The sequence below is a fragment of the Homo sapiens genome, chromosome 11 (assembly GCF_000001405.40).
Source record: "Homo sapiens chromosome 11, GRCh38.p14 Primary Assembly".
Lineage (NCBI taxonomy): Eukaryota > Metazoa > Chordata > Mammalia > Primates > Hominidae > Homo > Homo sapiens.
Genome location: NC_000011.10, coordinates 12811881 through 12837022, shown reverse-complemented (window position 1 = coordinate 12837022; position 25142 = coordinate 12811881). Strand labels below are relative to the sequence as shown.

General features: G+C 43.1%; 1 protein-coding gene and 1 long non-coding RNA gene across 2 annotated transcripts in view, besides 1 other annotated feature; one reads left to right on the top strand and one right to left on the bottom strand.

The window, feature by feature from the left end:
* TEAD1 (TEA domain transcription factor 1) overlaps positions 1–25142 on the bottom strand; it is a 270317-nt gene that overhangs the window by 107715 nt on the left and 137460 nt on the right. The window lies entirely within an intron of this gene.
* LOC107984313 (uncharacterized) lies at positions 593–11759 on the top strand. The gene is made up of 2 exons (XR_001748136.3): positions 593–9216; positions 10360–11759. It is a non-coding gene; the product is annotated as an uncharacterized LOC107984313 (long non-coding RNA).
* Positions 8064–8702: an enhancer, noted in NCBI's record as "NANOG-H3K27ac hESC enhancer chr11:12849868-12850506 (GRCh37/hg19 assembly coordinates)". NCBI's record gives its function as "activates a minimal SCP1, AML or CMV promoter by ChIP-STARR-seq in primed H9 embryonic stem cells {active_cell/tissue: H9 hESC(primed)}" and the evidence as "EXISTENCE:reporter gene assay evidence [ECO:0000049][PMID:30033119]".

Here is a 25142-nt window from a genome sequence, read left to right as displayed (position 1 = left end):
AGTCACTGTGGGATGTGCATCATTAATCAACTTGCGCTTAGAGGCTGAACGTTAACAAAGGACACATCAAAGCTGAGTTAGTTGTATTTAACTCTGCATTTCATAATACAACACTTTCCAAAGGTGATCTTTGCCAAAGAAAAATAGATCCGCTTTTTCTTGTTATGACAAATGTACCATTACTCTCCGACTTTTACCCTGCTAAGTCCGTGATGCAGTGAAAGTTTACCAAAATAACCTCTAAGGCAGATAAACTAGTTGGTGGAATAGTCAGCACAAGAATGGGTGGTTTTCCAGGGACTGAAATCAGAAACTGAAAGGTGGCACAAAAATAAATACATTCTGGAGCTTTAATATACAGCAAGTTGACTATAATTAGCAATCCTGTAGCATATATTTGAAATTTACTAAGGCCCCTAAAGTTTACCAGGTTCCAAAATTACCAAACCCGCTCTCTCCTCCAAGCTAAAGTCTCATGCTCGCAACATAACGATTCCAGTTTGGGGTTAGGAGGAAGCAGTCTAGTTGAACTCATCCACACTACACTAAGTGACCCCTTTATTCATCATCGCGGGAAAAGCAACAATTTTTTTTTTTTTTTTTGAGACGGAGTCTCGCTCTGTCACCCAGGCTAGACGGCAGTGGTGCAATCTTGACTCACTGCAAGCTCCGCCTGCCCGGTTCACGCCATTCTCCTGCCTCAGCCTCCCGAGTAGCTGGGACTACAGGCGCCCGCCACCACGCCCGGCTAATTTTTTGTATTTTTAGTAGAGACAGGGTTTCACCGTGTTAGCCGGGATGGTCTTCATCTCCTGACCTCATGATCCACCCACCTCGGCCTCCTGAAGCGCTGGGATTACAGGCGTGAGCCACCACACCCGGCCTAAAAGATCTTTTTTTAATTTTGCTTCTAACTGACAGATAAATTTGTGATATCATATGATGTTATCATATATGTATACATTGCAGAATCATTAAATCAGGCTAATTAACACATCTGCCACCTCATATTCTTATCATTTCTTTGTGACGAGAACATTTAAAACCTAGTCTTTTGGCAATTTTGAAATATACGCCACATTATTATTAACTATAGTCACTATGCTGTGCAAGAGATCACTAGAACTTATTCCTCCTAACTGAAACTTTGTACCCGTTGACTAAGACCTCTCCTTTCTCCATCCACCCCCAAAAAGAAAATATTAATGCTTTCAAATAAAACTCCAAATAGCAGCATTAAGGCATTCAGAATCCCTGAGTTTGCCTCTTTGAATAGAAGTTCTCTTCTTCTATTTCTCTACCTGTAGATTATGAAAAAATAACACATTCTTCTAGGCCAGCCATATGTTAGAAAGAAACTAGAGTTTGTTTACTTAAGTGTTACCATTTAAAAACCTCAGAGCCACCGGGTACGGTGGCTCACGCCTATAATCCCAACACTTTGGGAGGCCAAGGCGGGCGGATCACATGAGGCCAGGAGTTGAGACCAGCCTGGTCAACATTGCGAAACCCCTACTCTACTAAAAATACAAAAAAAAAAAAAAAATTAGCCGGGTGTGCTGGCACGAGCCTATAATTCCACCTACTTGGGAGGCTGAAGCTGCAGTGACCGAGACTGCGCCACTGCACTCCAGCCTGGGTGACGGAGCAACACTCCTTCTCAAACCAACCAACCAACCAACCTCAGAGCCAAATAAATTTATTCTCCCACAAATATGAAAATGCTCTGCAAGTATAAATTCTAGACCTACATTGGGTAATAAACTATCAGCATCACCAGGAATCTATCCCAAACCAGTAAAAATCAAATTCTATCACAGTGGCCGATCTGCTGCTTTGTAGCTAAAAAAAACCAACAAGGTTTGACCCCATTACACATACTCACTGCCGGTTTTGGTGCATTAGCTCCCAATCTCCCTCTGTAACTTCCTGAGCTATAACAAGAAGCTCTGAACCCCATGAAAGTGATATATATTGTCACAGAGACATGGTCAGCCTTGTGCAACTAGAGGCAATATAAAAAAATCACAAAACTCTAAAGCATTTTCTCTATATACACAATTGTATTTACCCTCTGCCTTTCAGAACTCTCAGGAAGAAACAGAGTCAAAACTTATCTATAATTGCTCTGTAATCTCAGCACTTTGGGAGGCCAAGGCAGGAGGATAGCTTGAGGCCAAGAATTTGAGACCAGCCTGGGCAACACAGCAAGATCCCACCTCTACAAACAAACTTAAAATTAAGAAAAAAAAAAAAAAAGAGTGGGCACAGAGGTGTGAACCTCTGTAATCCCAATACTTTGGGAGGCTGAGGCAGGATGATCGCTGGAGCCCAGGAGTTCAAGACCAGCCTGGGCAACACTGTGAGACCCCATCCCTACAAGAAAACAACACACAAACAAACAAACAAAAAATATCTTTAATTGGTAACAGGTACCATTTATCAAGTGTCTACTGTATACCACCAGGCGTTGTGCAACACACTTCCCATACATCTCTCTCCACTATCATAAAAGTCAACAGAGGCTGTCATTATTTTCATTTTACAGATGAGGAAACAGCCTCAGACCAATTAAGGAGCTCACTCAAAACACAAATCTAATAAATGGTAGCACTGGGATTTCAGCCCAGGTCTGTCAGATTGCACTGCCCTTAAAAGGAGGTCATGTCAGATGTTCACAAGTCCAAAGTTTCCATGGATATCTGTTACAGCCACTGTCTATCCTATGTGACAAATGATTTAAAAAGAATAGTCTAAGTAAATCAAACACCAGAAAATCTATTCCACATAACTCATATCTCACCCTCCCCTCTACAAACGTCAACTGACTAATTCATCTTCCACACCTCAAATGGTTTGTTTTACACCAAATTATAATTATTCCCCAGGGCTGGTCGTCAGCCACTTATTCACATTGGAAGTACAGGTTGCTTGACATCTAGTTTGATCCAAGTCATCTCTCTCGGATTCAAATCTTAAATTCTCATTCCTCAAAATGCAACAATTGCAACTCAATTCCATAAACATTTATTAAGTCCTTACATAACTGCCTGTGTCAAGCAAACAGACACAGCCCACGCCCAAGGCAAGCTCAAGGTCTAGTTGGGGAAATAAGCAACCAAATGAGTAAACACAAGGAGGGGGCAGCTAATTTGGTTTGAGAAATTCGGGAGGCACCTATGGGATTCTTGAAGAATGAGTGGGAATCTATAAAATGACTAATTAAAGAAAGAGCATACTAAGTACAAAAAAGGGACAAAATGGTACCATAACTTGGAAATATTAATTCTGTGTGACCAAATGGGAAGGAAGAATAAATGGTGGAGGCAGTTTGTGAAAATTGTTATATATGAAAACTTTATCCTGTAGGAAAAAAGGAACCAACGCTTTTTTTTTTAGTAGCATGGCAACAGGAGTAAATGTAACTAACGTTCTGGCTCTCTCAGCAAGCAGGAGGTAATGCAAATTCCACATTTTCAGATTTTACATGCCCAGTCTATTGGGTCACTAATGATGAATGTCAAAAGAAAAACAAAGCTACTTATAGTTCTCCTTTTTCATTATCTTAGTTCAGGTACAGCACTCTTCTGCTTTGCATATATTAGATTCATGTTGTACCCTGCATTAAAATATTCAGCACAAGGAGGCCAAAGAGAAGGCAGACCTGCATTTCAGCACATCTCTGCAGGCTGCAATGCAATGTTCATAATTAAGATGATCTGAATTCCCCCCAAATCTTCTTTTTTCAACTCATTGATAAAGTCTTGATTAAAAATATAGACATTTTGTCATCCTTACTACATTTATCTCACCTCAAAACTCTCCTGACTTGGTGAAAGAAAATGCTGCCTTCTCTGTCTGGTCAATTATTGCATGGACACAAGGGACCAATTAATGCCATCCATAAAAGCCTGAATCATTCTGTCAATTAACAAGAACTAACTATGTCATCAGATATATTACTGGTGAGCAAGTCTATTTGGTTGCAATATGTCTTGAAGGAGAGCAGTATCAAATGAATCACAATTGACTTGGACAACTGCTAGCATAATTTCGGAAGATGAAAAGACAGATGTGGTAGTTATTAGTGGTCCCCTGAGGAATTACAGCCAAGCAATTGTAATGTGCTAAGACTGCACTAGCAGGTGCCTGCAGTACAAATCAGACAGAGGGTTAAATCAATATTTTCAATTTCTTAGGATCAATCTGGTGTTTGAACGAGATGGAAACTTGTTAGCAATTGGCAGGATGTGTAAATGAAAAGTCAAACTTCTTCTTATTTGTTAAAAAGGAATGAGTGTTCTGCATCATGCCCTTGGCACAAGGTAATGCTTTCATGATCCAGTAGCTGGGGCATTCACTGAGAATCAAATGGTTCTTAAATTTTAATAGAGTGCAAAAGGTTAGCTTCATAGAGGTTGAACATTCAAGATCTTTAAAAATGACTGAAGTGTCAATAGGAAAGTTTTGAGCTGTGACAACAGTATAGTTATTAATGATTAGTGCAAGAAGCAGAAGGAAACCTTAAACTTAATGGAAAGAGGAGAAAAATAAGGTCTTACCAAGAATGTATAGATTAAATTTGGTCTTGGGAACATTATGCCTTTTCTCACTTTGCTAAGAAACAGTTTAGCTTTGAGGACAATTTATCAAAAACTTGGATTTTTCCCCCTAGTCTTCTATGCCGTATTTATAACCCTTGTTGAATGCTTGGATTAACTGAACAACCGTCTCTGACAATGTTTGATCTCATTTTTTGTTAGTTTGCTTGCTTTCAATTTAGGGATAAACAATCCTTCATAGGCCCCCAAATTATGAAGATACAAATGAACAGAGCTTAGAAGCTTAGAATTGTAAACAAAAAACCTGTAACCTAATATATTTTGTGTGTACATAGTAATCATTTTAATCACCATGAGGGTTGGGGGTGGGGGGACAGTGTGGTTTATTGGGAGTCAGAGACGTGGTGTGAATCTGAGGTCTGCCACTTACTCACCATGGCACTAGGATCAGTTCCACAGTGCTAAGAAACTTGCCGGGGGGCAGCTTTCCTACCTCTTAATACCTGTTGAGAGCAGTAAATCTCCTGCCTGGCATATCAATTAAAAGTGCAAATATCTGCATCTTACATGCTATTTAAAAACAAGTGGCATATTTCAATAAGTAAAAAATAAGTAAATGTATTATTGTGCAATATAAATATTATAGGCAAACTGAGACTCTACATTTTTTTTTTTTTTTTGAGACAGCGTCTCACTCTGTCACCAGGCTAGAGTACAGCAGCATGATGATCTCGGCTTGTTGCAACCTCTGCCACCCAGGCTCAAGTAATCCTCCCACCTCAGCCTCCTGAGTAGCTGGGACTACAGGCACACGTCACCACACTTGGCTAATTTTTAAAATTGTTTGTAGAGATAAGGTCTCACTATATCAGCCAGGTGGAATATTTTCCTTTGGTAAAACAAACAAACAAAAAACACAACAACAACAACAAAAACACCTCTAGAACCCTATTTTTAAAAACCATTTCAAACAATAATTTCTTGACTATACAAGAGCAAGATTTTTAAGACACAAAGACAATAAGGCAGAGCATCTGCCCTCAAGGAGTTTGGGGGGAATATGTACTCCTCAATTAATGGCAAACAAGGCAGATCTAAGATCAGCTCAGGGCACTGGGGGAATTCAGGGAAAGAAGAAAGCCCTCAGCTGGCAGAGGGGGCAGGAGAAGGACAAGCTCTATAGGAAAGAATTCATGGAAGAAACAAAATTTGAGATGGGCTCTGAAGAAGGGTAAGATTTAGACAGGGCTGGGGAGAGTTAGAAGGAAGAAAACCAGACAAGGAAGGCTTCCTGGAGGAGGAACCATGGAGTGGTGAAATGGGAACCAAAGAAGGAAGAAAGTAAGAAATTTCAGGCAGAGAGAGCTTCGTCTGCCAAAGCAGTTGCTTCAGTGGAACTGAACGGCTGGAACTAGCCTCCACAAGAGCAGAGAACAAGAGAGAAGGAGGGTCATGGGCTCACCATCACCAGCACTGAGGTCCTGCGGCAGATGAAGGGCAGGAGGAAGAAGGGCCTGTCCGTAAACCCAGCCAGAGGGAGGATAGAAAAGGGAAGAGAATCAGCGGATGGGGGCAGAGATGGGTGTCTCCCTCTCCCTACACCTTTTGCTTGTTTTTTCCCTTTAAAAAACTGGCTCGTTTTTCCCTTTAAATAGGAATTACAATGTGAATGTGCATGTGCATGTGCATGTGCGTGTGCGTGCATGTGTGTGTGTGTGATTGCAAATATAACTGACACAAAATATAATTTATATATAATTAGTGTATATACATATATTTATACATATTATATACACGTTAACCAGGCTAACAGATTTTTTTAAAGGATGAGCACGTTCTAGATTTTGTTTATTAAGACCACGTGAGCAGCAGGCACTCAAGAACAAAGGGGCTGGGCTGTGTCGTGTGGGGAGGCTGCAGTCTCCCAGACAAGAGGAGGTCCTGAGAGCCTGGGCACCACTCCCTGCCTGCTTCTAAAAAGGAGGGTCTCTGCAGCCAGATGTAACATGAAGCTACCCTTCAGGAGCTGGTAGGAGAGGCCAAGACTCAAGCTGCCTAAAGAGGTAGCCAGGTTTGGGTTGAGTCTTCCTTAAGGCCTAGGACTCCTTAAGTCTTCCTACTTCTGGGCCCCTTGCTCATCACAACACTGTCCACTGGGATGCCCCCCACTGCCAGCCTTTGTGGATCTTCGTAGGTCAGGTATCCTCTGACCTCACCTGCCAGGTGAGGCATGGTCTTGCCCACTCCCCAAGATGCTGTCTTCCTTTGTTTATTTGGTCTTTGAAACCTCAATCACCTCATGGCTCTCTGAATTCTCTCCTCTTAGCAAGGCTAAGCTCCTCTATTTCCCAATGGCTCGGGGGCTTTCCCACAGCCCCAGGGGTCCTTTGTCTGATGCCCTTCTGGCCTCTGTGTCCATGCACCTGTTCTCCCTCTATCTCTCCACTCCCAAGGCCCAGCTCAGGAAAATCACCTCATCAAACCTCTCTGACCTTCTCAGAAATGTCCCTGCCCTGCTCTATGGACAGCTATGAACTCCTACCCTACCCAACCCATACATGTAAATGTCTTGTGCTGGGTGTTATGGAGAAATAAAGATGGCCTCAACAGCCCCTTGATGCCAACACCCAGGTATTCCTGTCTCAAGAATTATACAAGAGTAAAGCACCAGATACAGTCTTCAGGATACAGCAACTGCTCAATTGCTCAATCTTATAAACACCTGACTGAGTTCACTGGGCCTACTCTCTACAACTGGACAGTAAAAGGCTAGCAGAAGCACACACCATGTATTCCTGCTTCTCCACCTTTCATGCTAACAGTGGAGAGCTCAATAAATACATGGATAAAGGAAGAAAAATGTTTAGCCAGAGGATCAGTATGAGCATTATCAATGTTCCAAGTCAGCAAGAATAAAAAACAAATTCAAGGTCCTTTCCTTCAGTTTGGATTTTACTTCTAAAGGCAAACATTAGGGTAAGCAATGTTTTCTGCATTAGTCTCAGTTGACACTAACTGGTCAGGAGAAACCAGTTGCTCCGAGGCATACTTCAGGGTCCTGGGTGAGCATGGGATATGTCAAGGCCACCTGGGTTGGGAGAGTTTAAGGGATGCTTACACAGAGGGAGGGAGACGTTTGGTAGGCAAGGTCATTTGTTCATTCATTCTCTCACGTATGTTTTGAACAATTGCCTTGGGCCAGCCACCACGGAAAGCTCTGAGAATTCAATGGTATGGTAAATATGAGTCTCTGTCATGCACCTTCTTTAGGGTCTACTGGGTCAAAATCCGCTGGATAAAAATCCTGCCTGCTGCACTTCCGTCTTGGGGAGTTTCTCTGGATCAGAGCCTCTGCTTCCACCACCACTACCTCAATCAGCAATAACAAACCGATGGCTCTTAAGGGCGAGGGGGCTAAAACCACAGAAAAGGAGATGGAAAGAGGAAGCAGGAAATTTTCTTTCCGATATTTAAAAATCCTCACAAAACAGTGAATCTATGCTTCATAAACATTATCATCTGCAGAAATATACACAACAGAATTTAACTAATTTATTTAAACTCCAACTTGTCCCCAAAACAGGCAGGTTTCAAGAAATACGGGGTAAAAAAAAAAAAAATTCAGGACAAAAGAGTCAGGAGTAAGGCTATACAGAAAAAAAAAAAAATGCAAATCAATAAGAAACAAGGACTCCATGCTGACGCCAGTTAAGGAAAAGTGAGTTAGGAAACCATTCGCTTAGATTTTTTGGTTAATAGGTACCATTTAAAAAAAAAAAAAATCACTCAGTTAAAAAAAAAAAAAACCCACACTCCCAAGGGCTATGCATATTGCCTGACTTCAGTTTTGTGAAAACAAAAGCTGTATCTTTAAGAAATTCAACTCAAACATCAGCTTTTGAAACCAAGGTTCAGCAAACAAGAGCCAATAAAAATGCTGTAACTTGAAACCAACCCACACAGCACAAAAAGAAAGGAGAGAGGTCTGCCCGGGTCGCCCTCAACACACCCTTCTAACTTGGTTCTAGAACAGCAGTGCCCAGTTTGCAAGACAAGAAGCTAATTGACTCGAATGTCTGCTGCATAAGCTATAAAATAAGTACATAAAGAACAATATGAACATACAGCGCCATCAGTTACATAAAAAGGCCTGACTGTCCGACGCCACACTGTGCACCGAACAAGCACAGCAATTGTTTCAGCGGGCTGCACGGAGGAAGAATGAATAATTAGCGTCCTTGTGAATCAAGTCTCCACCAGGAAGAGAGCTCCATCCTGCAGCAGTGGCACGGCAGCACCCTCAGCCCGCCAGAGTCAAGCTGGGGTTTTTAAACGTCTTTATTGACAATCAGGATGCAGGCAAACATATTCTTCAGCCAAGTAAACCGACAACTAGCTCCACTGTGGTCACTGCTCATTGGCTGGAACACCCGCTTCTTGTCTAAAGTCTCACCAACTGCTACTTTCCATTACCAGGAAATGTCATTTTCCCTCACTTGTTTATTTTTGCATTGGCTAGGAATACAACAACTTCTGCTAAAGGTGGAGGGGCTGTGACAAAAGCATCCATTTGAGCTGTCCTGGCACAACAGGCACAACACAAGAAGTCCCTAAACGTTTCTTTCCAGAGAGTATGAGTAGAGGGAAGCAAGGAGTAAGTATCTTTGATTCTAGGATTTTTCTCCTTCTCCCATATCACCAGTGTCAAAAGATGTCTCACTTCCTCCTGCAAATGTGATAATAGGAGAGCAGGATGTGTGGACTGTCACTAGGACAAAAACCCACTGAAAAACCACTGGAAGTGTCTGATGCGTTTGACAGTCTGCAAAACAGGCAACATAAAGCAAAGGAATGACCATAGGACCTAGAATCAGTAGATGGGATTCAAATGTCTGCTGTCTCTCAAGAGCTGTATCATTTTTAGCAAGTCATTAACTTATCTGGGTCTTACTTTTCCTACTTGTAAAATAGGGATACTAAGTGTTCTCATCCACACCAACACACCCACCCCAAGCCTAGGGTTGTTGACAGAATGAAATGAGATTATACACAGGAACTTCCTTTGATATGAATATGATTCTATAACTTCATCTATTTGAAAACTCAGAAAATGCTGGGCACAATCCCAGTATCTCATGAATATTTACTATTTGCTTAGCACTGAGAAAGCCCCTAGGAGATGCAGAGAATTAAAAGGTACAGTTCCTGACTATGAAGAACTCATGGACTAGTAAAGTCAGGATATGTAAGTTCAGGGCTAACAAAAACTCAGGCATAGTCCACTGCTGATAATTACTCTCAATGCTTTTCCCTCATCTCACTTAATTCTTCACTACTCAGGAAAATCCACTGAGTTCTATCCAGAAGGCTTACAGCCCTAAAAACAATAACAACAGAATTGATAAGTGGCATCTCTCCAGCACCCAGAGGTATTCTTGGAGACAGAGAGTTGAGAGGAATTCCCTATTGCCCTTGAGTTACTCTATGAATTCAAACCATGGGAGTACAAGAGCCCCAAAGGAAATCATGTCTGAAGTGACAAGAAGAATTTGCTGCCAATCTTTCAATTAAAACTTTTTTAAGATAAGACTCTACATGCAATGCCTAGGAAAACCTAGTTCAGGAACCTCTAGAGTCTGAGCCCTAAGCTCACAGGTCTGAAATCCAAACTGTAATATTACTTAATAATGGGTTCCTATATGCTAGGTACAAAGCACTAAACATTTACACACATTTTTTCATTTGATGCTCAAAGCAACACTAAGAGAAAAGGAATTTTCTTATCTCTATTTTGCAGATGAAGTGAAGGATTTGATGGAGTTAAGTAACTGACCCAAGGTTTGCAAAACCGGTAAGAGGTGAACCATGATTTGAACCCAAACAGGTTGATTTCAAATCCCATGCTAATTTATCACACCGTGATTGTTATATTACTCTCACTTATGTCTATTTCCCACTCTGCTGTTCATTTCTGGAAAATTACTTAGTCACACTGTTTTATTTGCAGGACAAAAACCACTATGGATTCCCCACTATGGAGGACCCAGAGTTGACAGGGAAAGTGTAATCCAAGGTACAAAGTCCCACAACTTTATGTACTTCTCCAAGGAACTATTTTCTCCTGAAAGGTTTGGTGAGTTCGAAGATGTGACAGAGACCTACAAGAGCCCAGAAAGTGGTAATATTTTTGAGTGGTAAGTAAAAATATGTTCAACCTAACTAGGAACAAGAGAATATAGTTAAATAATGTGCTCACTTTTCACCCATTTTCACCCACTGAATGAGCTAGCAAACCTTCTCGAAAAGTAATTTGACATGCTGTGCTTCCAGTTTAATATCTAAGAACTCTTTGCCTAACTCAAGGTCATGAAGACTTTTTATTATGTTGTGCTAAAAGATTTAGCTTAACCTTCTACACTTTAGCCTAGGATCCATTTTGAGTTAAATTCTATGTACCGTGTGCGGTAAGAATTTAAATTTACCTTTTTTGCATGTGGATATCCAATTGTCCTAGCACTATTCATTGAAAAGACTATTGAATTGAATTGCTTTTGAATTGCTTTGGTACCTCTGTAGAGAAATCAATTGACAATAATGTAATGGTTTATTTCTAGACTCTCAATTCTGTACCATTATCTATGCTTACACCACTGTCTATCCTTACACCAGTAACACACTGATTTGAATAGTATAGCTTTGTAGTAAGTTTTGAAACTAAGAAATATAAGACCCCTAATCTTTTTTTCTTCCCTTTCCGAATTGTTTTGTTTATTCTAGGTCATCTACATTTCTATACTGTTAGAAACAGCTTGACAATTTTTTTTAAAAAGATGCATACTAAAATTGTATAAGGATTGCACTGAATCTACAAATCATTTTAGGAAGATTTAACAATATTGAGTCTTCCAATCCATGAACATGGGATAACTCTCATTTAGCAATAAACTAGTCTTGCACTGATTTTATTAAATTTATTCCTCAGAATTGTGTTCATAATGTGGGTTTCAGATTGCTTGGTGCTAGTATGTAAAAATACAATTGATTTTTGTATACTAATCTTTTATCCTGTAAGGTTGCTGAACTCATTAGTCGGTTCGTACTTTGGGGGAATCGGGATTGGGCATGTGTTCCTTTAGGTTTTCTAGTACAGGCTCAATTCATCTGAAAATAAAGAGAGTTTTCTTTCTTTCTTCCCAATCCGGATGCCTTTGATTTCTGAACCTGCAGTACAATTTTAAATATAAGTAGCAAAAGTGGACATCTCTGCCTGGCTTCAGATCTTAACAGGAAGCCACATTAATAAAGTGCATGAAGAAGCAGTCCACCCAAGCTATTATCTTTCTTGAAGACTTTACGAAACAGAACTGGCTAAATATTTTCTTATACTGATGAACCATGATCACATACAAATAAAAAACGTACTTAGAAACTTTAAAAAATGAGTGTGTGTTTTAAATTAAGAACAGAATCAAAAATGTCATCTAATAGATGAAAGATAAAATTACTCATAACAAATATATGAAAAAACAGCACCATCTCATGTAATGAATGCTCGAAGTAGAGAGAAGGAAACAGAAGGGAGGGCAAACAAGGGCAGCAACAGTCCGGGAGAGACTGCAATCACTGCCAGCTTCCGAACAGGCTCCAGGTCAGCACGGTTCTGCCAGGCCAGGAGCCCGGCCCCATCAACCCTCTCTACCTTCTACTCACCCCAGAGTTCAGGACTGGGAGGAACTGGCAGGAATGGGGCTCTAGCAATCTGGCCCCAACCCTCACCCCCATCACCCAGCTAGGAGTAAACTGGTAATGGCCTGGAAGACAAGGAGCCTCCAGTGGGAGCTCTCACTCAGCAATTTTCACACAACAGTCTCTTATCTTAACAAAGCAGCCGGACTTCTTTTTGAAAACTTGGTTCCCGGATGGAAACAATCGGGCAGTATCCAACATTGTTTGAAAGAACACACTGGTTCCAAAGACCTTGTTTTCTCTGAAAGGTGAAAGTTTAGATTCCCCAGCAAGAGGCATAGCTGGGTGTTCAGAATTTGACTGCTGGAGGAAACTGCCAGCTCTGAGGCACCCTCTCTCTCTATCCTATACACAACTTCCAGCCTGGAGCACAGCACCTGCCTAGAATAACTACTGCGTACACACTTAGGCAAGTCTGCAGACAACGGCTGAATATTTACTGTATGCAGAGCCCAGTGTCCAGTGTAGTTATTTTTAATTTCATATATTCCATTATACTATGCAATAAACCTGATAAGGAAGGATGAGTGGAGGAGTAAATAAAGTAGACATTACAATTGGGGATTTCACAGAAAATACTGTTTGAAAAATGACTTCCTCAAGGGATTTAAAATCTTGTGAGAAAGGAAACAATGAAGAAGTTGGAAATGCAGACAGAACTAGAGTTCATATTCTTAATTTTACAGACGTTCTCATTTTCTGGTGTCTCGGAGAAGTGAATAGCCCCAATCACTTAGTCTCCCCCAAAATTAGAATAAATGTCTCCCTGGGGTAGGGTAGGTGAGCCTTTGTGAACATTCTACCACATTTTATGATGGGAACTCTTCAGTTTACATCCCTCCCTCTCATACCCACTGTATCCCTCAACAACTGTCACTCCTGCCTCTGTAATCTCTGTGCCTGGGACATAATAGTTGCCAAGGAAATGTATCTTCTTCCTTTCCTCTGCTAATGGGATTTTGGACAAAAAAATCTGACACTGGACATATCCCCAACATAACTCCAGTGATGTAACACTAGTGCATATCCCAGCTTTGCACCTTTTCCCATCCAAAGGTTGGTGCATTATCAGAATGATCTGAAGGAAAAATAAATTATTCACATCAAGGAAGCACCTGCTCTCTCTTTCCTCCTGCATGTCCCAACTAGAAAAAGCATCTCTTGTGCCAGATGGAAAGAAAAAGAGGCCAGGGTGTCTGAGAAGGTCCCCAGCATGCCCACCTGTACAGCAGCCTGGGAAGCCTCAGTATCTGACCTGCCCTGGGAAATGACTTCCAAACGCCTTCAGGGACTAGGCACTTCTCACAGGTAGGTACCTCACTGAGGTACGTTGTTGATTCATGGCAACCTTGTGAATCAACCACTACCTATGAAGTGGGAACATTTTAAAGGCAAGAAATCAGAGCTCAGAAGTCAAGTAACTTACTCAAGATCACACAGCTAGCAAGTGTTGGCCACTTTGGTTTGCCATTTAGAAAAGACCCTGAAGCTCCATGCACAAGTCCTACAAGGTCTAATTTGTCATTATACATTCCCTGAAGAGCTGAGGGGGATAGCCTGATTAGCAAGGTGAAGGAGAACCAGGACAGATGCTCTCTCTTCTTCGCTGCTATGAGCAAAGATGAGATGTGCTGGGGGAATGGAAACTGCAAGACAAGTAAAAATTGACATATGTAAAAAACAAAAAAACAAAACCAAATACTGGACAATTATCTACTAAAAATGTTGTCTTGAGATGTAAAAATTATAAATTAAATTAGAGCTAGCTTTGAATTGCTTTTTAAGTTCACTTATTTTATGGTCTGTACAACATGTAATCAGGACATGCTCCAAAGATTACCCTGATAAGCTGTGAAAAGAGCACAGTCATTAAATAAAATCATGAGATAATTGCATGGTTCTCTGGGTTGGGCTTACTAATATGGATGCTAATTTTATCTGTGATACTACGGAGTGAAGGCGCTCTTAAAACTGAAGGTCCTTTAGCAGAGCTCTACTGCACACTATCCTGTGAGCTGCATGACTAGGGAAAGCTCTCTGGCTTCTGCTTAGCTTATAGGAGTGCATGAGGACACCTCCCAGCCTCCAGCCCTGGAAAAAGCACTGGACCTCTCCAGCTACATGCCTTCTTTGTCCTTCTCCCAGTCAAGGCTCCACAGGCAAGGCCTCCACCCCCCATCTTCCATTGTACTCCTGCGCAGAAGCTGAGGATGGGAAGCTTAGAATAAATTATGTGAGCCCTCGCCCTGGCAGAAGTGACAGGGTGGACACCACACACTATCCCATCTCCCTCCAAAGACTTTATCTGACAGTAAGTATGTCACGTATGCAATGGTTCCTTCAAAATAATTATTTCAGTCACCGAATCTATATCTGTGAGGGAGGATCTATATTTCAATTCACAGAGGACCAGTATTTGAGAAATTAGACCTCTAGTTTCTCTACAGTTGCAGCACAACTGCCGGTGGCTCACGCCTGTAATCCCAACACTTCGGGAGGCCGAGGCGGGCGGATAATGGGTCAGGAGATCGAGACCATCCTGGCCAACATGGTGAAACCCTGTCTCTACTAAAAATACAAAAAATTAGCCGGGCATGGTGGTGGGTGCCTGTAGTCCCAGCTACTCAGGAGGCTGAGGCAGGAGAATGGTGTGAACCTGGGAGGCGGAGCTTGCAGTGAGCGGAGATCGCGCCACTGCACTCCAGCCTGGGTGACAGAGAGAGACTCTGTCTCAAAAAAAAAAAAAAAAAAAAGGAAAAGAGAAAAAGGAGAGAGAGTATAGGAAAAGAGGAAAGAGAAAAGGGGAGGGAGAAGATCTAAGGCAGAGGGGAGGCAGACAGCGGAGGAGGTAGGTAAAGTGAGAGAACGAGCTGACATGTGTGTTCCATGAAATGCCTTATCAATGCTCTATTGATAAAAGCATTCATATCAATGCTAATACTGGATAATTCATATCCGGCCATAGGTTCCACACAGGTTGTTGATCAATAGTTTACAAATACATGAAATTGGATCTGGGCATTTTTTTATAAACCCATTTTTCATTTTTTTCCATAATCTTTAATTAAGATGTTCCTACACTATAGAGTCAAAAAATAAAAGTCATGGTCCTCCAGAAGAGGTCATAGTTTCCGACTGCATGCTCAGGGAACCCCCAATGAAGGTATCATTTGTACTCCCATTTAATAGATAAAAAGGCTGAGAAACTAAGCGCTGACAAAGGTTAACTCTCCATGTCCACATTATGATACAATTATGAACAAAAATATTCCCCCACAGTGCTTTCCATTTCTAAATGCTTTCACCTGTATCATTTCATGTGATCCAATTAAACATTATTAATGATGAAGACTCAGAAAGGTTTTGGGAGGAGAACAGGGTCACAGGGCAAGAAAGTGATGGAACTGGGGCCAGAATTCAAAACTCTGAACTTCTCGTTTTCATATAAGAAATGGCAAATCACTGATCCAAAAGAATCAGGTGCTACTAAAGGAGCATCTCAGACATTTCTACTCAACAACACACCATACACAGGCCCTTGAAAAGCCAAGTATCCCACACAGGATCTGGCTCTGGGCAGCAACAGAGAAGTGGACAATTGAATGGGGCTCTGCTTCTTGAAGGCCTGGACAGCAGCTGGATCCACCTTTCCCAGTTTCAGGGCAGACAGGCTGGTGAACAGGCCATGGCAAAAACTAAACAAGCATGCAGACAGGCATAGAGCCCCCAAAGTGCTGCAAACACTTCCCTTGCCTTAAAGCCCTTTGTCATCAGCAGCAGCTCCGGAAGTTACAGCAGACTGGGATGTACAATATGCCTTCTTTCTGGGGTCCTAGGTTTTTCTCCAGACTTACTCGTCATCTTAAAATTGTTCGCTTTGATTTATTTAAGTTAATGTACCTCAATGGCACAACAAAATCATGACAATAATAAAGATATTTTAATTTGGGGAAACAGCACTCACAACCCCACAGCCTGCACAGGCCAAGGGTTTTTCTTTGTCCGGGTTCCCTTCTAGTCCTGTCCCCTGAAACAGTAGCCATGATCACAGAATAAGCACTACTTTGTATTCTACGTTTTTTGTATAATCGCATTTCCTCTCTCAACCCAACCATGTCTGATGACCCTGGCAAGTTCCTACTCCAAAGTCTTCTTTTAGGGTGTTATAATTTCATCACCAACGTAGACAACTGATCTCAAACAGGCTCCGTGACATGTCTGACCTGTAACTCCTAAGATCTGAGATCATGGTTTGGGTGAGAAGGAGAACGCTTTGGGGATGAGAGAAGAAGAAAGGAAAAACAACTTTGCTTTTCTTCTCAGGAGACAAAGTGCTATTAGAGACTAAAACTGTGGATGCCACTGTGGGTGGGTGGGGTGGGAGGTGCCTATGGCTTTAGGGCTACACAGCCATGATGCTGCCATATGGATGAAACCACTCTCCACTTCCCCACAGCAACAGTGTCTAGCGGGTTGAAAAAAATTACTGTATGGCAAGAGTCCTGAGTATACATTATTCAAACCAGATCACGTCCCACTCCCCATACATACTTATCCACTTAAAACCTTTGCTGTGTGGCTCTGCACTGATGGAGAGGTTTATATTCCACAGTATGGCACACAGTGGACCCCCATGACCTGCCACCACCTCCCCTTCACCTTCCCACCCTCCCTCCCCACAACTCCCTGCCCCAGGCCCTGAGCTCCAACCACCCAGTCTCTGCCCACCCAGCCCATTCTGTTTCTCCACCTCTAATCCCAGGAGGTGTGAGAAACTGTCCATGCCCTCCAAGAGCTGACTCACAATCGGGGAAAAAGAAAAAGGCTCCAAGTCTATGTTTATCATGAAAATCAAGAAGCTATTTTGTTATCTATGAAATAACATCTTTTAAATGCATTACTGCAAATGGTTTAAAACTGGCCAACGTATTACAGAATAAGACCGCTTTTAAGACTTTGTTACCGGCCGGGCTTGGTGGTTCACGCCTGTAATCCCAGCACTTTGGGAGACCGAGGCGGGCGGATCAAAAGGTCAGGAGATCAAGACCATCCTGGCTAACATGGTGAAACCCCGTCTCTACTAAAAATACAAAAAAAAATTAGCCGGGCTTGGTGGCGGGCGCCTGTAGTCCCAGCTACTTGGGAGGCTGAGGCAGGAGAATGGCGTGAACCTGGAGACGGAGCTTGCAGTGAGCCGAGATCGCGCCACTACACTCCAGCCTGGGTGACAGAGCGAGACTCCATCTCAAAACAAAAAACAAAAAACTTTGTTACCGTGAAACACAACACACACACACATACAAGTGCATAAGGCATAAATGGACTGTTTAAATGAAGGGGTTACCAAGTGAATATTTATATAGGTAACTAATTTTTTTAATTAAAAGAATCATTTAAAGCATTTCAGACAGCAAAGTGTAAAAAAAAAAAAAAAAATCACCTCTGCACAAGCACCGGTGATAATGGTGCCACCTTGGAGTCACTCAGTCACCAGTACAAGAGGAAGATGCTTAAATGCAAACCTTTCTCTTAATTGGCTCATCATCTGCATCATATTCCATAACCCACTGTCTGGATCTGGGTCAATATGTGTTCCAGATTTTCCAGGACAATCCCAATTCTAAAGTTTAGGTTCTCTGGTCCCCATAAACCATTAAAGGTAATTCAAATTCCTATAGATCTCCCAGACTTCCTGTTGAACCAGAAAACAAAAAATAAGGAATTGAATATATGAGTCCTGATTTGAGGCTCCAGATACATTTACTGTTACTCTAGCCTATGTTTTGTGTCTGCTTTCTATTTGTAGCTCTCTTGCAAAACCTAAGAGGATTCAGTTGCTTCATATTGGTCCCAAGTTAGTACTAAGCTGACTCACATAGATTTTCTTATTTCCACCACTAAGCATGATAAAGGTTACAAGTATTTCCGGTGCAATTATAAATTGCATCTGCACACCCCAGCTTGTAAGTACCTGCGGACAATTTCACACTACTGTGGTTCAATGTCTCCCTGTTGCCCTCTAAGCTTGAGAAACCCATTGATATTGAACCTCCTCTGACAGCAAAGGCAACTGAGAGTTCCATGTAGGGGAAGAAGGGAGGACATCCAAGGAAGACACACAGAAAAGCAGTTTGGAGGAGCTGGACTTGACTGGTCCTCTCTGACTTAATGACCTTTCTTCTCCCAAGGAGCCGGATGCCGGACTCAGGGCCATTAGCACCACCACTGATCTCCAAACCAGACATGTCCCCAGGGAGGCCCCAAAGCCTTACTTCTTTAACTTTATTTTTCAAGTCTGAAAAAAAATCCCTTGATGAGATCTAGCCACATGAGAACTTTTCAAAACATATTTATAAACTCTTTATAAAAATAGTAACAGTGGTTCTGTAAGACAATGTTGGTGACACCAAATTTCATGGAGGCAGGATGTAGAACCTTGAGAAAGGGATTTTGGGAGACACATTTAAAAAGATTAAGTTGAGATACACTCTGGGCATACCAGCTGTATAACGTCATATAGATGAAAAGTAAGCATGCAATTCCATTCTCTCAAGAGTTTGGGACAAAGGTGAAAACTAAAAGGTGTCTAATGGTTATTGGCTGCAACCACCCACATATATGAAAAGTAATGACAGCATGTCTCCCAATTTCCTATAGGTTATCTGCCAAATTCCTGCCTCCTTCCTAAGAAGACAGAATCTGCAGTGTTTTCTTTGCCATCCAGATATACCCCATGTCATTATAAACAAACGCCGCTTTCTTTGCAGCTAATAACCACAATGTGTGGGTAAGAAACCTCTCCAGTATAAATCCGTGGGGACAAAGCTGCATTGTGGGCATTAAATAATTATAACAATCTGACATGAGTCAGAGGACTGTGTTTCAATGGCCCTGTTGCGCTTCAAACTTTCAAGTCAACCCTGAACTCCCTTTCTTGGCACTCTGTCCATGTGCTGGGCTACTGTGAAACAATTCTCATTCTTTATAGTTTGGTCCCATTGCAAGGAGCTGGCAACGTGGGTACTCATGAAATATTAACACGTTAACATTGATTTTTTTATAAGTGTGGCCAACAGTGGATCAATTATATTACTATGAAAAGCTTTTCATAATTCATTTGGGGGGCATCAAGATCTCATTTCTGGACAGCACACGGATGATGAAGTCGACAAATTTTGAAGAGGTCGGCACTCACAGGCACCGAATACATTAAATGTGATAGATGGTGTAAACACTCCGTTCACAAAAAAGGGAAAATGTTTACATCTGGCAAAATAATTAAAATAGGGTACAACAGATCAACAAGTTGGGAATTAGGTACATGCCAGTCTCTCTCCATAAACAGGAGCAGGAAAATCTCAAATGCTGGCCATTTATTCTCCGTCTGGCTGACCACTAAATGTTTATTCTCATCTCCTTCAAAAGTAAAATTGGCTAATTTCTAGGTGTTAGAAGAATTATTTCAAGCTACGCATGCTCTGAAGTGCCTTTATTCCAAGAACATTAGTAGTTTATTACAAATTCTGGCTTTAAAGGCGTGAGATAATAATATCAGCGTGGCAGAATCCAATTCAATCCAAGCAGCGCAAGGCCTGAAGAAACAAAGGCAAAGTAGCTAGCGTGAGCCCAAGGAGTGCCCTGCGCGAGGTTCTGCTGATCCAGCAGCGAGTGAACATGAGACACATTTCAATTGGGCAGTGTGCATAAACCTCGCCTCGGCTTTGAGGGAACGCTGCATCACACATGGAAAGAAACACTATTCCAAACCAGCGGGCCTCTGCACATGCTGCCCTGATGGCCAGAGAAGGCATCTTGAAGAACAGGGAGGGGTGCAGCAGTTGTAGGTTCTCTACATTCTCATTGTAATGCCATCATCACCTGTGTCCCACTTTGTCCCCTCCACTAAACCATGAGCATCTTAAGAGCAGGAACCAGGTCTTACTCATCTTGAGATCCCTGTCCCTAGCACTGGAGAGTCACACAAAAGATGTGCTAAATAAATAGCCACAGGGTGTAAATTATCCCTCTCACTCTGGAAGTCTTGTACCTGGCTTGTGTATAGCAACTAAACTCACCCTCCTCCTTGCACTGGCCCACTGCATCACCAGGAGAAAAAAGTCACCCAAAGAAAACGTCTTCCTGATCTCCACGGATTACAGCTCCAATGTGGAAATGCCCCTAATAAGCCAACAAAAGTTTTCAGTTACCTGGGGCGTGTAAGCCACTACAAATACCAAAAAGGGGGCGGGGTAACTTAAAGTGTTGAACCTACCCTGAAATCCCCTGGAAAAAGAGCGTGCAGAAGAAAAGGGGCTCCTGGGGCAAATGACCAACAACTTTGGCTCAAGTGTCCTGACAACAAGAGCGTATACAAGAGAACCGTTCTCAGAATGCTCCTCCAAAATCCTACAGGGGATTTCCAGAGGGCCTAGTGAGAGTGTGGTCAGAGACACTGGAATGAGAGAGGGTGGCAGCAAGGCGGGCAGCTTGACTTCATCCAGCCTCAAAGTGGGACGTGAGTGCAACAGTATCGGATTGATAAAAAGCCACCCGAGTGCAGGCACAGTGCAAAGTGGGAAGGCTCACAAGCCACCTGGCATCAGCACCCCCGTGACTGCCCAACAGAAGAGACAGGAAGGCAGACCGCAGCTTGCTCAGCCTTAACAGAGGCCCTGTCTAGGTTCCTAAGAATTCTCAGTCTTCTGAAAACCTAAAAGGACCTCAGTCCTGGGCATATCAAAACCTGAAGTGCTGTAACATGTAATTTAAAAGGATTAGCTCTACGTCATATACATGATCTTAACTTGCTGGCTCTTCCTTCTTTCCTCTGAGCCATGAAGTAACAGGAAAGAATTCATTGATCTGTACCCGCAGGCAACAACTTATATGTGTTGGTGTGGCCGACACCTGCTCCCTCATGCACCCCAGTGCTGAAAACACAGAAAATTTGTCCTTTGGCCCCATCTGTGTCCTGAAGAACACATAAGTAACACATACACATATATCACAAATGCCCTTAAAACTGTTGAATTTCTATACTTCTGCCCAGATTACAATTTAGTCCAATCGTCATCACCCAATCATTGAAGCTACTTATTACTTGGTTACATCTAGTTGAAACACCTGTTAAGAGGGGCATACCATCATGTCATGGCCAGTTTTAACTAAGAGGGAAGGTCCACACACATATGGTTACACACTGTGTTTTGCATTTTTGCAGCTTGGGTCCATTACAGTTCTGTGACCTCTTCTCCAGATTCCTCTACTTAATATTCATATTTTCCAAATTACTTTAAATAACCCACAATCAAGTACGAATAAAATATGTGAAGAACAAAAACCAAACGGAAACAGCTGGGGCAGAGAGAGCATTATTTATGTTATGTTATAAATGAGGGCAGTGGCTAGCTATCTGGGAAGGGAGGGAGGGAAGAAGAAAGGGAAAAAGGAAGGAAGGGAGGATGGGAGGGAGGGAAGCTTCTGAGTCCCAGCAGGCCTGTCTTCCAGCCCACTGCGGGAGATAAACACAGTTTCTGTTTAAAACTCACCCCCTCTGAGATTTGGGGACAGGGGCTCTGGAACCCACAGAATGAAACCTACCCTTATCTATAAACAAAGCCCGGCTTTGATGTTGGCCAGCTTGCCTGCGTCTTTCCCTTTTCAACTGAGGCTTATCAGCAGAAACATCTCCATTAAGCACTTAGTCAGCAACCATTACAGGCCCGTTCTGCACTGGATGCCTGTTTCTGAGAATAATGAAAGAAAAACGCATATGCCTTGCCCACGTGGAGGCAGCATTCACTGATGGGTGCGTGCGCTCCGGGACGCGTGCACACACACACAGACACACACACACAGCTCGGGACGGACGGGGACACACACACACACACACACACACACACACACACACACACACACACACACACACACACACACAGAGCTCTGCGATGGTCAGGGGTGGCTGGACTTGAGATCAGAATTCCTGGCTGTCTTGCTTACGGTGTGACAAGCTTCCTAACATGTCTAAGCCTCTCGCCCTTGCTGCTATTAGGGGATTAAATGAGATGACATGCGCAAAGACTCTCAAGTGCTGTCACGCTCTTCATTTATTCGGCTTCTGAATCACTTCCAATCTGGTCTTCCCTTCCATGGCACTAGGCAGAGCCCTGGCAACCAGGACAGGGACAAGACCCTCAGGCTTCCTAAAGCCAAAGGTGCCTTCCCTTGCCCAGCAACAGAGGTCCCCTTCCAGGCAGAGCTCTCTAGCCAGGCCAGCGGGGGCCTGAGGGGGTCAAAGATTCCAGCTGCCCTTCCTTCAGCGCTGCCAAAGGCCCCTCACACACTCTGGTTCCTACAAACTTGTTTCAAAGGGAACAAACTCTGTTGTCAAGAGCCAGAGTGGAAGCAGCACCCAAACACTGCCCCAGTGGCCCAGGACTCCATCACTGAGGACAGAGGCTCGCTTGAACTCCCCGGGCGTCCAGGTCCCCTGAGCGTGGTCTCTGGCCTCGGTCAGACATCCTCCTTCCAGAGAGAGCAAACAATGACATCCACTGTCAGTGAGACCACTCTCCATTCCTCCCCATACGTCAGCCCTGGTGACCAGTGAGCGTAGCAGGCAGCAAGCAGGAGGTGAAGGGGAATGAGACACGGCTCCCAGAACAGCTTGTTTGTGTCCAGCTGTTGAGAACCTTGATGCTGTGCCAATGGGGAAAGAAACATCCTCCTTGCAGCACTTCTTTTCAGGGCCTCGGACTTGTGGTCAGCACCTCCCAACCATGTCCAAGAGAGAGCTGGACACAGGCTACACCCCATCCTCTCTCCTCCACCTTGGCTGGTGACTCAAGGTGTAGGAGGAGAGGACACACCCCAGCTAAATCCAAACACAACCAGGAGATCCCAGATGAACTTGCAGTTCAGCACGCCACCCCCTGGCACCACTGCCACCCCTGCAGACGGGCAGGAAAGCTGACAAGGACTAAGTACCCACTGTGAGCCAAGTGTGTCATGGTTAGCATCTCAATGAATCCTTATACAGCCCTGCAAAGAAGGTGCACACTGAAGTTTGGAGAAATTAAGTAGCTCACACAGTCACACAGCTCTTATCTCAAAGAGAAGCCTCTGGGCTCCTCATATTTCCAGAAATGGAAAGCACAGTTCTTGGCTTTGATGTTACACTGCTTATCAAAAGCACCACTGTAAAAAATGAAACATACACACATGAAGTATGGGAAATGTTATTTTCCCAGGCCCACATTTGGGATGTCCAGCCCACAAAGACTTCCAGAAGGGCAGAAGATGATCCACAGTGCTCATCCCACCTCAGCAGCTTTTCTGTCCCGGCGATCCCCTAATTTGGCTCACTTGAGGCACTCTTAAAGGTGGCTCTCTTGATGGCTGATTGGAAGATGGCACTGCCATAACTTCACAGAGAAAAGAAACCCAAACACCTTCCCTGGCATCCTTCCACCTCCAATTGCCAAATATCCAAAGTGGTGGAAGCTGCTTCCAGGGCTCCCAGGGAGCCCCCAGTTTGCCCACTGCCTCTACAGCTCCACCTCCCTCAGCACAGTATCTTGACCTAAGACTGAACTCCTCCCTTCCAGCTCCAAGCCGGCTGGACTGTCTGGCTTGCCCTCCCAGGCCACGTCTGCTCACTGATAAAAGTTCACTAGGAGCATCTGGACACCAGCTATTCTGCTCACGGACATTCTCCCTGCTCAGACAGACACGACAGTCACTAACCACAGACCCTTGCCTTTGTGCCAGGAGGCTGCTACCACATTAGCCCCTCTTAACAGTCTAGCTAGTACCTTAGAAAGGTATTGTTCTATTGAATTCTTGCTGTATTAGAAATCTCACTGGCTGCAGAGAGGACCATTAGGGGTGATTTACTCTGGCTCAGTGTTCCTGAACCAGAAGAGCACTGAGCCACGACTTCCCCAAAGGGAATGATTTGGTGAAGATGCATGGCCTGATTCTGGATGTAGTGGATTCACATGTACCAAGAGGGATTTGAGGAAAATCTATGCGCTTCCAGCATCTCCTGTATTAAGCCTTCTCTTGATAAATTTCATAGGTTTTATATTAGATATTCTATCTGGAAGAAGATGAATACCAGTAATATTCTGGAGGGAAAAAGTTTACTTTTAAATATTTACTTTTTAAAAATTTGTGTCAATGTGAATCTGTCCCTCTACCATCCCCTACAATATTTATTACAGATCTGCTGTCCATATTAGGCTCTGAGCTCTTGCAGGATAAGGACAAACATGTTCAGTGTTTCCATCTCTCCAGTGACCAGCAAATAGTTAAGTACTCTTTTAACCATCACCTTTTTGGGATTCTAATAATGATAATACCACATAGGGATCAATCATGCATGCTATGATGTACTCTTCCAATTAACTCCTGAAATCCTTTCAGTCACATCCATCCCCAAGCATCACACCAGGAAGCCATCACTGAATAAGTGGTGGCAAGAGGGTCATTTCCCCTACCATCTCTATAAACCCAGGAAGCAATTTTCTCAGTCCACAACCACAAGCCACGAGCTCAAAAGCCCATGTATATCATAAAGACAGTGTTTCTGAGCACCACCCCGGCCCTGAGGTTAGCTATGAATGGTGCATAACTCTCTGTGTGAGACGATCCATCCAATCGCAGGTGTGTGTCAGTATAGGCAACTAAATAGTGGCTTTCAGGGGCTCTTTTCAGCTTAAGAGACAGGAACATCATAAAGCAAAACAGGAAGAGACTACGTCCTACCGGTGTGGCTGAGCCTGTTTGGGAGAAGTTCGATCTACAACACCACCCCAGACATGAAAGAACTTA